A 12,484-nucleotide genomic window follows, 5' to 3' on the forward strand; every position below is an offset into this window, starting at 1 on the left:
TGAATTATGTTACTTTTTGTTAAAAATTGAAAAAGAAAAAATAAACTAATATTTATATAGTGCACTATAATGAAAACACTAGAAACATTGAGAATTAAAGAGGGAATTTTTTTGGTTAAAAAACTTGCCAGTAGATTGAAGAGTGCTTGCCTTCTCATCATAAAACTTATGATACAGAGAAAGCATCTTTTCCAAGACTTGGCAAATTGTCATTATTTCTTTCTAAATTTGGATTACCTTCCAACATTTTAACTTTTGCACTTTCAATGTAATGATATATCTCCAAGTTCATTTAATGTGAAAAATTTTGCCAATATCGCTTTCTGTGGGACATCTTTATCCTTTTCTTCACAACAGCCTTCCTCATTTATGCTCGTAAATGTGCCTTCACTAAGTTCCTCTGGCTACATTTCTAGTGTCTCTTGAATGACAGCAGTGTCAACATTCCCAGCTCCGCTATTTCTTCTATAACTTCATTTACATTTGATTTGAATTTCACTTCCAGCCTTGTCACTTTTCCTTTTTTTACTGCATGTTCATCTTTGTTGACTTCTCTTCATTATCTGTTTTTATAAAGTGTCACATTAATTTATCACTAGGATACAAGTACATGCTTTGTTGTCTGTGCATGTACCAGATAACTAATCACTGACACATTTTAAAAGAAACAATATGATTAGTCACTGAATGGCATACATATCTGTTGTATACCCAGTGATTTATACTAAAGAGCTAGCAGCATATCAGTGTGAAAGTTTGTACTTCTTGCAGTTATTCACAGTTAACATACCCTGGTAACTGAAGTCTACCGGGGTAATTTTGTTAGGGGACTGGTATTATTTAACAATACTGTGATAACTGAAATTCATGCATATCAAACCACATGATGCATGTTCTACCTGTATTTTGAAATGTGTAATATTAAATCAATTTTAAGTTACTTTAAAAACTAATCAGTTAATTCAACTAAAAAGCCTCTGCACAGCAAAAGAAATTATCAGCATAATGAACAACCACAGAGTTTGTGAGAAAATCTTCGCAATCTATACATCTGACAAAAGACTAATATCCAGAACCTACAAGAAACTCAAACAGAGTAGCAAGAAAAAAAAAATCCCATCAAAAAGTGGGCTAAGGACATGAATAGGGCTCACGCCTGTAATCCCAGCACTTTGGAAAGCTGAGGCGGGTGGATCACCTGAGGTCAGGAGTTCGAGACCAGCCAGACCAACACGGTGAAACCCTGTCTCTACTAAAAATATGAAAATTAGCAGGTGTGGTGGTGTGTACCTGTAATCCCAGCTACTCAGGAGGCTAAGGCTGGAGAATCGCTTGAACCTGGGAGGCGGAGGTTACAGTGAACCGAGATTGCGTCATTGCACCCCAGCCTGGGCAACAAGAGCAAAACTCCATCTCAAAGAAAAAAGACATGAATAGACAGTTCTCAAAAGAAGATATACAAATGGCCAACAAATATATGAGAAAAGGCTCAACATCACTAATGATCAGGGAAATGCAAATTAGAACCATAATGTGATACCACCTTACTCCTGCAAGAATGGTCATAATCAAAAAATAATAGATGTTGGCGGGGATGTGGTGAAAAGGGAACAATTTCACACTGCTGGTGGGAATGTAAACTAGTACAACCACGATGGAAAACAGTGTGGAGATTCCTTAGCTAAAAGTCGAACTACCTTCTGATCCAGCAATCCCACTACATGGTATCTACTCAGAGGAAAAGAAGTCATTATACGAAAAAGATACTTGCTCTCACGTGTTTATAGCAGCACAATTCACAATTGCAAAAATATAGAACCAGCCCAAATGCCCATCACTCAACCAGTGGATAAAGAAATTGTGGTATATATACCATGAAATACTACTCAGCCGTAAGAAAGGAATGAATCATTTGCAGCAACCCGGATGAAATTGGAGACCGTTATTCTAAATGAAGTGACTCAGGAATGGAAAACCAAACATCATATGTTCTCACTAATAAGTGGGAGCTAAGCTATGAGGATGCAGAGGCATAAGAATAATACAGTGGACTTTGGGGACTGGTTGGGGGAAGGTGGATAGGCGTGAGGGATAAAAGACTACATACAAATTGGGTACAGTGTATACTGCTTGGGTGATGAGTGCACCAAAATCTCAGAAATCACCCTAAAGAACTTATTCATGCAACCACGCCTGTTCCCCAAAAACCTGTGGAAATTAAAAGTTAGTTTAAAAAAACTAATCAGAAACACGATTTAGTCCATCCTATTTTAAAGAAAATAATGCCAGTGTTTTAGATACTTTATATCTTCTTTAAAAGTTCTAAGTGGTTTCATCTTCAAAAATTTGTCTGGAGTTAGTACTAGCCAAATGACATGAGTTAAATGACTTTCAAGCAAATACTAAGTAAATGTTTGAACTTTTTGAAAGTTACATGACTAAAATATATATGAATTCAAGATCTAGTTCTAATTTTTTTTACCAACACTGTACATAAGCATTTATATGTGTTAAAGAGTCATATTTGTTTTTGACAAGTGCTTGGCTATCTCACTAGATATTGTCATTTTTACTAGTGAATTATTGGAGAAAAGGAGTCCGTATTCTGAGGTTGTTGATTCTGAAGTTTTGGTTACACAACTATATATTAAAGTGCTTGGATACTTTTCTGGATTAGCATGTACTGTCTAATATAGCTCATATTTTTTATTGGCCTGTATAATTTTTAAAAATTTTACCACTATCTCATGATATATATACACATATTGATATATACCTTTTGTTATGACAGTATTAACAATTTGTTCCTAATTTATGTATTGATTTGCTATTTTATTTACATATTTACACTGTTCTTTTCTACTATTCTAAGTAATTAAACATTGTTGATTTCATCATACATACTTATTGGAGGAAAGAAATAGCACTATTTTGCTAGCATAACTAAGTTTTTTCTCCCCTTTTTAGGTGTCTCATGATGCCATCAAAATCCCAAAGTGGTCACCTTTGTCAGAAATGCACCCTGTAGATTATTACTCTTCTTATACAAAAAACTGCACTGGAAGATTTACAAAAAAAGAAATTAAGAATATTAGAGCATTTTATTATGCTATGTGTGCTGAGACAGATGCCATGCTTGGTAGGTGGTATAATTAATAAGCAATTACATGAAGAAAAATTATAATATTTTTCCAACAGTCTGTAATCATGCTGCTTGGTGACTTTCTTACAAAGTTGCTTATAACTATAGGAATCTTGACACTTATCAAAACTTGATAACTTGCGTTATTGATAGAATGAAAAGCTCTTTACATCTTAATGATTCAGAAATTCTCAGATTCATAAATGCTCAGATTTATTCACACATAAAGAAAGGGTCACAGAAGGCTATCATCTACTTGAAACGTTTTACTGTCCTTAAACAGGAATCAATATTCAGCCAAGCACAGGTACACATGTGATTGGTAATTGTAAGGCAGCTTAGGTTTCTAGAGATGAGAAAATTTACTTGTAGAATCTTGTGACTCCCCAAAACTTATAATAACCATGAAACAAATTCATTCTCCCCAGGCCCTTTAGAGCATGGCTTAACTAAAGTTTCTCCATGTATATTCTGGTCCAGAATCATACCGAATTTTCTTCCCTCATTCAAGCTCAAGACCACCTCAAAACTAAACCTGCCTTCATCACATGACTGTCAAGAACATTTTACCTGTTCACTTATAGAGCTATGGAAGTTTCCAGTTCATGTGTGGAAAAACCCTCGTTTAAAAATCTGTTTTATAACAAAAGTTATTTTCATAAAGTAATGTCATTTATTTTGCTGCACTTAGGAATGAAGCATAATTGTACTAGTGAAGCGTAGGTAGCACCTCTTCTGTACAGAGTAAACTTTGGAAATGACAAGTGAATGTTTTTTGTTAAAAAAAAATTCACTGGGTAAAAATAGAAAAGTATACAGCAAGAAGCAAAAAGGCCATATGGACAAATTATTTATAATATAGCAAGTATAAAAATGTATTGGCCAGGTATAAAAATGTATAGGCTCATGCCTATAATCCCAGCACTTTGGGAGGCTGAGGCAGGTGGATCACCTGAGGTCAGGAGTTCGAGACCAGCCTGGCCAACATGGCGAAACCCTGTCTCTACTAAAATACAAAATTTAGCCGGGTGTGGTGGCACGCACGTGTGATCCCAGCTACTTGGGAGACTGAGGCAAGAGAATCACTTGAACCTGGGAGGCAGAGGTTGCAGTGAGTGGAGATCGTGCCACTGCACTCCAGCCTGGGTGACAGAGCAAGACTACGTCTCAAAAAAAAAAAAAAAAAAGTATTTAAGGACTCATAAGGACTTTCCAAGTACTCAATGCAAATAAGATCTTAAGTAATTTTCTTTAATCATGAGCACATCTGTCAAATTGTATTTCATTGATATTCTCTGATGTTAGAGAATGTCCTCCCATTTGCATACTAGAAATTGCATTTGAAAGTTTATAGCCATTCATTCATCTGTATCTAATAAAATGAAAGAATGTTGCTGTAGGGAGTGTGGGAATACTACTCTTGATGTCTCTTCAGAGAAGAAAAATATGTAACAACTCCCTTACATCAAGTTACAAAATTTATGGAATATACTGTATCTTAATTTTTTTTTTTTTTTTTGAGATAGAGTCTAGTTCTGTCTCCAGGCTGGAGTGCAGTGGCGGGGTCTCTGCTTACTGTAACCTCTGCCTCTTGGGTTCAAGCGATTCTCCTGCCTCAGCCTCCCGAGTAGCTGGGATTATAGGCACGCGCCACCACGCCCAGCTAATTTTTGTATTTTTAGTAGAGACGGGGTTTCACCATGTTGGTCAGGCTGGTCTCAATCTCCTGACCTCATGATCCTCCCAAAGTGCTGGGATTACAGGCATGAGCCACCGCGACTGGCCTGTAAATTTTTAAATCTACACCGGTCTTTTCACCAAATAGTATTTAATACTGTTCATTGTGTTTGTTAACAAACATTAAGTACCTACTAGCTGTAAGGCACTATGTTGGGCACTGGGGGAGTATAGTATGTTGAATACTATTAAGAAATCACTCATTAATTAAAGACATTTGTGGCTCACGCCTGTAATCCCAGCACTTTGGGAGGCCGAGGCAAGCGGATCACAAGGTCAAGGGATCAAGACCATCCTGGCCAACATGATGAAACCCCATCTCTACTAAAAATACAAAAATTAGCTGGGTGTGGCAGTGTGCGCCTGTAGTCCCAGCTACTCAGGAGGCTGAGGCAGGAGAATCACTTGAACCCGGGAGGCGGAGGTTGCAGTGAACCAAGATCACACCACTGCACTCCAGCCTGGTGACAGAGTGAGACTCCGTCTCAAAAACAAACAAACAAAAAAAAAATTAAAGACAATCTAGTGTCTTTTCCCACCTCAAGGTCTTATATTTTGTTTCATCTGCCTGGAACACCCTTCCCTTTGCTTTCTACATGGCTGGCTTATTCTGTCTTTAGATCCCAGCTCAGTTGTTACCTCCTCAGGGATGTCTTCCCCAACCACTCTAACTCAGTGTGCCAGCTCCATCATTCTGCTTACTTTATACCTTGTCAGGTTGTTTACATAGTAATACTAATTATTCGTCTGTTTACCATCTGTTTCCCTAGAAGAACACAAGCTTCATGAGGGCGGGGACATTCTTTTATTTTTATTTTAAGTTCCAGGGTACATGTGCAGGGTATGCAGGTTTGTTACATAGGTAAACGTGTGCATAGGTAAAAGGTGGTTTGCTGCACCTATCAACCCATCACCTAGGTATTAAGCCCAGCATGCATTAGCTATTTTTCCTAATGCTCTCCCTTCCCTGGCAGGCCCCAATGTGTATTGTTCCCCTCCCCGTGTTCATGTGTTCTCATTGTTCAGCTCCCACTTATAAGTGAGAACATGCAGTGTTTGGTTTTCTGTTCCTGCGTTAGTTAGCTAAAGATAATGGCTTCTAGCTCCATCCATGTCCCCGCAAAGGACATGATCTCATTCCTTTTTATGGCTGCGTAGTATTGCATGGTGTAGATGTACCACATTTTCTTTATCCAGTCTATTGTTGGTGGGCATTTGTGTTGATTCCATGTCTTTGCTATTGTGAATAGTGCTGCAGTGAACACACATGTGCATGTATCTTTGTAATAGAATGATGTATATTCCTTTGGGTATATACCCAGTAATTGGATTGCTAGGTCAAATGGTGTTTCTGGTTCTAAATTTTGGAGGAATTGCCACACTGTCTTCCACAATGGCTGAACTAATTTACATTCCCACCAACAGTGTAAAAGCATTCCTATTTCTCCACAACCTCTCCAAAATCTGTTGTTTCTTGACTTTGTAATAATTACCATTCTAACTGGCAATTATTTATTGCCAGTTAGACGTTTATTGAATGAGCATAATCGGTAAACATTTATTGAATGAGCATAAATGCTAAGAATTACAATGTGTTGTTGTGACTACAGTAATATGCAAGTTGTAGGCATCCTGAAGAACAAAGTGATTTACTCTACCTAGAAGAGCAGGGAATGGTGCTTTGCTAGAGAGATAATGCATGTTTGAGCTGGGTCATAAAGGAAGAATAGGAATTTGTCAAGTAGACTGTGGGAGAAAGGGCATTCACCATAAATGGCAGAGTATATGCAGAGGCAAGAAAGCGTAAACTAATATGGTGTGTGTTTAGGAGGTTCTGAGCAGGTTAGGATTGTTGAAACGTAAAGGTCTAGCAGGTAGCCGAGGGTGCTGAGTGTGGAGAGTGGACAGGGGCATTGCTTGTTATGCTAAAGAATTCGACAGTGGGCATCTATGAAAAAGTTTCAAGCAGGGATGTGACACAATGGAGTGATTAGGTAATTTAGAAAGATAGACACCAGGATAGTACAAGCAGGGGAAAGAGGAGTAGGGGCAAGACCGATTAGTAAGTAATTCCAGTTGTCCAGTTGAAAAATCAAGAGAGTCTCAACTCTGCAAATAACTCCATAGAGCAGTGAATGTCAATCCTGATTACACCTCAGAATCTGTAGGTTTTTAAATTAATATACACTCTTCTACCCAGATTCAGGAACTGCCAAAATAGGGATGACCCTTCTCTCTGGCCTGTGCTTTCTTGTGATTCTCTTAATTACAGTAGGAGGAAGTTCGAGAACACTGAGACAGGAACTGGTCAGAGGAATTTTACTGTCCCATTATTCCCTATCCAAGAAGATGCTAAATCAAACTTGTACACTATCTGTCCTGCTTCCAGCCCTTCTTCAAAGGTGGGATTTCCATAATCCTCAGCCAACTTTATGAGCATGATCTGGTGATTGCTTAGAGATTTGGGAGAAAAAGTAGCAGAGAAGAAGAGTTCTGACTGCTCTTATCACTTCCTGTTGCACAGAAACTGTGGGTCAGAGGTGATACCAATCTTTTTATCATCTGAGACATGTAAAGTGCTCATATCCAACTGATCTTTCTTTTCTCATTCAAGGCACTAAGGGGAAGATTTTTTCCCCTATTCTCTGGTAGAAACCTAGAAAACAAGCCGGCATGATCTCCAGATAAGCAGCTTTGAGCAAGAGTTCCCATGGGTATTATATTTTCTTCTTCCTCTAGTCAGCTGAAGAGCAAGCAGTAGACAGACCACTGTCAACTTTAGACTTAACTTGAGAACAGTAGGTAATATTCAGATGTTAAGAAGCATAGTGACAAACTCTTATAGGGTAGAGTGGTTATAAACTTAATGTGATAGAATAAAACATGAACTGAAAGTTTTAATCGGTTTATCATGATTTCTATTGTAGGTGAAATTATTTTGGCCCTTCATCAATTAGATCTTCTTCAGAAAACTATTGTCATATACTCCTCAGACCATGGAGAGCTGGCCATGGAACATCGACAGTTTTATAAAATGAGCATGTACGAGGCTAGTGCACATGTTCCGCTTTTGATGATGGGACCAGGAATTAAAGCCGGCCTACAAGTATCAAATGTGGTTTCTCTTGTGGATATTTACCCTACCATGCTTGGTAAGTAATGTAGTTCTGTAAATATTTATTTGTAATAATGCTGGAGAATGCAACTGAAGTTGTCAGTGAGTCAGTCTTTCAGTTAGTAGTCAGAGGTCCTGCTGACTTGTTTATAACCCTGAGCAACTCATTCAACTGTGAGTCAAATCTGTACTCTGAAGAATGAAGAGATTGTTTTTCATGTCCCTGTGGCCTTCACTTACTATAGTCATTTTCCCTCAAAAGATTTGTATTCAGGAGATGACTGTAAAGTAAGCCATGTAAGATATTCGGGTTCATAACCTTATAGATATGATTTGTACATCATTTGATTGTCTACCACCACCTCCTTAAAATGTAAGCATTTCCTTTCTGAATTATTCTATTCACTTTGAAACTAGTATGAACATATTCCTCCTCAGACTCTTTAGATAGTTCTGTACTATTTGCTTTACTAGCTTCTTAATGTCTACAAGCATAGCCATATGTCTAGAAAAGCAACATATGGATAAGGGTAGTTAGCAGTTTTTGTTGAAGATACTAGAATAACGACATAATCAAATTCAAAGGAAATCATAGAACTAACTTCTAGTTTCTATCTCATTTAGCAAAGTACTTTAAATTCATTAGCATTTAAACACTAGTTTCTCTGTTCTAAGGCACCATCAATTGGAAAAAGTACCCTCAATTCATAAATTTTGGTGAAAGAAAAAAAAATAGCACAAGTTATGTTCTCTAATTTCAGAAATGTTAAAATGTGAAAGAAAGATGCATCTTAAAATCAAAGAAATCAGAGTTCTTTTTATCTGCTTCCTTCTGCCACAAAGTTCTTCCCTTAATTTAACTAAATTTATTTAGAGTTAATTTAAACCAGCGTCCTTTCCTCTTTTATTTCATATCCCTTCTCATATAATTACACATACTTCTTTCCAGTTCCTTGAACTCTTTTTTTTTGTGTGTGTGTGATGGAGTTTCGCTTTTTCACCCAGGCTGGAGTGCAGTGGTGCGATTTCGGCTCCCTGCAACCTCTGCCTAACAGTTTCAAGTGATTCTCCTGCCTCAGCCTCCTGAGTAGCTGGGATTACAGGCGCCTGCCACCATGTCCAGCTAATTTTTGTGTTTTTAGTAGAGATGGGGTTTCACCATGTTGGCCAGGATGGTCTTGATCCCTTGACCTTGTGATCCGCTTGCCTCGGCCTCCCAAAGTGCTGGGATTACAGGCGTGAGCCACTAAGCCTGGCCAGTTCTTTGAATTTTTAATCTCTTCTGTTTCTTAGTCATCATTTGCTGGTTTCCCTTTATCCCAAAGTAATGATCACACTCAGCCATATCTGGGCCACTTTCTCATTCCATTAGTTTCTAGCTGATCACTATTACTTTTCCTCATTTCTGTGTTTTTTTTAAAGAAGTTTATATAGAACTGTGTATATTTGGGTCTCTTTTATTAGTATATTTAGAGTTTTATGAATATATATGAATTTAGAGTTTTATGAATATATGCCTATATTCTTTACAATTTCCTTCCTTAATTTTTCTTCATGTAGAACTCTCCCTACCCTCCCCATTCCCAAAGAAAATCTTCCTTGGGTCATCTTTGCTTGACTTTTTAGCCTCATTCTGTTTTCTTGAGGTATAGTGACCAGAACTGCAAAAAGGTATTGTAAAAGATTATGGAAAGCTGGGGTGATTCTTTCTCCGTTTTTCCCTCAGTATATTTCAAAGTGATAGTTGCCATTTTATCTATTTGACTCTAGCAGCTAAATAGTTAAATATCTTTAGGGAGTTGTCTACAGTGAGCCCTATTCAATTCTTAGACATTCTGTCATCATATATGTTAGTTAATTAAAATGCATGGTTTAAATCATTTTTCTTTAAACATTATTTTATATTTGCCCACAATGCAAATTTTGTACTCTACAATCTTGAGAAGATACCATTATTACTTCTTGCCATTTTATACATCATAAAAGTTAAAGGTCATCTGCAAACTAGCAGATTTCATAATGTATTTAACAGGTCATATAAGAAAATACTAAATAAAATTTGTTAGAATGGGGAAATTCTCATGCATCTACCTATCATCACTGCCTAATTTATGTTACTTGCTAATAAGAATTTCTCTAGCTAAGAAAATACTGTCTCAGAAACTCCTCTAAATTCCATCCCAACTCTTCTGTAAATGATGTAAATTCCCTGCACCTGTAGGTTTTTTTCCTGCAATTTGTCAATTATTATAATTCTCTAAAACTATAGTTTTATATAGATTTTTATTTTTCATAAGATTCTTGGTAATAGACTCCTTCTAAGTCACATTTCCCTGCAGAATATGTTTTATTAACAGCATTTAGATCATGTGTTGATTAGACCTCCTCAGTAAAAGGAAATAAAGTCAAAAATAAATCTCTCCAATTCTAAACTGAAAAATTAACATCTTCGTGGCTTAGCACAGTTTATAATGTGTTTCACATTGAATATTATTTTTATTATCAGAAGAGGGAAAGCTACATTTAAATGATTTTTTTAGTTGGGGAAGAGTGAGTGGAGAATACCTATGGATGGGTCTTTATATAAAACACTGAAACATTCTATTAACCAGATGTTAACCAGTGATAATGGTAGAAAGAGAACAATGCAACAAAAACCTTATGCTGGAGCCAGGAGACAACATTGTAACACAATTATTTACTTAAATTAATCTTTTTATAAATGATAAAGGTTTAATATTCATAGAGCTCTTATAAATCTGTAAGAAAAAGAGGAATACCTTATTAACAGATGGATCAAAAGAAATAAGCAATTCACAACAGAAAATATACACAAATGGCCAATATATTTTTAAAGAATCAAAGTCAGTGGTCATAAAAATATTAAAACAGAAAAATATTTTTCTTTCACATATAAAGTTTACAAAGGTTAAGAAGAATTAGAAAATCTTATATTAGAAATAGTCCTTCTTGCTGGGCACGGTGGCTCACGCCTGTAATCCCAACACTTTGGGAGGTGGAGGCGGGTGGATCACGAGGTCAGGAGATCGAGACTGTCCTGGCTAACATGGTGAAATCCTGTCTCTACTAAAAATGCAAAAAATTAGCTGGCGTGGTGGCAGGCGCCTGTAGTCCCAGCTACTTGAGAGGCTGAGGCAGGAGAATGGCGTGAATCTGGGAGGCGGAGCTTGCAATGAGCCAAGATCGTGCCACTGCACTCCAGCCTGGGTGACAGAGCGAGACTACGTCTCAAACAAAAAAAAAAAAAAGAAAGAAATAGTCCTTCTCATATACTGCTACTGGGAATATAAACTGATACAAATGTTTTGTAGGCAAATGTGACGTTACATTTCATATTTCTTAGAAATGTGCATACGTTTTGACCTAGAAATCCTAATTTTAGGAAATAACCTGTAGATATGCACAAATATTTATCTCCCTGGATATTTATTACCATATTAAGAATTAGAAACAATATGAATATCTAGTAGTAATGATTGGATTAAAAATAGTCACTTCTAATGCACATCAAAACCACAATGAGATAGCATCTCATAGCAGTCAAAATGGCAATTATTAAAAAGTCAAAAAGCAACAGATGTTGGTGAGGCTGCAGAGAAAGGGGAACACTTATACAGTGTTGGTGGGAGTGTAAATTAGTTCAGCCACTGTGGGAAGCAGTTTGGAGATTTCTCAAAGAACTTAAAACAGAGCTACCATTAGACCCAGCAATCCCATTACTGGGTACATACCAAAAAATACATAAATCATTCTACCAAAAAGACATGCACTTGCAGCACTATTCACAATAGTAAAGGCATGGAATCAACCTAGGTGCCCATTAGTGGTGGACTGAATAAAGAAAATGTGGCACATATACACCATGGAATACTACAAAGCCATCAAAAATGAAATAATGGCCTTTGCAGCAACATGAATGGAACTGGAGGCCATTATCCTAAGCAAATTAACACAATAACAGAAAACCAAATACCGGATGTTCTCACTTATAAGTGAGAACTAAACATTGGTTACTCATGGACGTAAAAATGCCAACAAGAAACACTGGGGACTACTAGAAGGGAGAGGGAGGGAGGGAGGGGGCCAGAGGGCCAGAGGTTGATAAACTGTTGGGCACTATGCCCAGTACCTGGGTGATGCAATCATTCCTATCCCAAACCTCAACATCAAGTAATATACCCAGGGAACAAACCTGCACATGTACCCACTGAATGTAAAACGTTGAAAAAAAAAGTCAATTAATTTTAACAAGTGAAATGTGTGAAAATTGCCCCCATGTATTAAAAAGAAAATGAAGGCTTTAAAACTGTACAAATTGATGTTTTTGTTTTGTTTTGTTTCCTTTTTAGATACTGTGTCCATCTAATTTACTGTCCAAATTAGCAGGTTTTTAGAGTACTATTAACAATTACACCAGCATTAACAGGCAGAAACTGAGGCTACTCTTTATTTAACAGCCTTAGGAGCCA

The 12,484-nt window shown here is 37.0% G+C and overlaps 1 protein-coding gene across 2 annotated transcripts in view, besides 1 other annotated feature; it reads left to right on the forward strand.

Annotated features, from left to right (window-relative positions):
• ARSK (arylsulfatase family member K) overlaps positions 1-12,484 on the forward strand; it is a 50,002-nt gene that overhangs the window by 28,494 nt on the left and 9,024 nt on the right. For both annotated transcript variants that reach the window (NM_198150.3, XM_047416820.1), the window contains 2 exons: positions 2,968-3,139; positions 7,807-8,031. In NM_198150.3, coding sequence (NP_937793.1) covers positions 2,968-3,139; positions 7,807-8,031 — 397 coding nt within the window. The remainder of the gene's footprint in view (positions 1-2,967; positions 3,140-7,806; positions 8,032-12,484) is intronic.
• Positions 7,651-8,850: an enhancer, noted in NCBI's record as "P300/CBP strongly-dependent group 1 enhancer chr5:94926949-94928148 (GRCh37/hg19 assembly coordinates)". NCBI's record gives its function as "activates an origin of replication core promoter dependent on BRD2, BRD4, P300/CBP, MED14 and CDK7 cofactors, with strong dependence on P300/CBP, by STARR-seq in HCT116 cells {active_cell/tissue: HCT116}" and the evidence as "EXISTENCE:reporter gene assay evidence [ECO:0000049][PMID:35650434]".

The sequence above is a fragment of the Homo sapiens genome, chromosome 5 (genome assembly GCF_000001405.40).
Source record: "Homo sapiens chromosome 5, GRCh38.p14 Primary Assembly".
Lineage (NCBI taxonomy): Eukaryota > Metazoa > Chordata > Mammalia > Primates > Hominidae > Homo > Homo sapiens.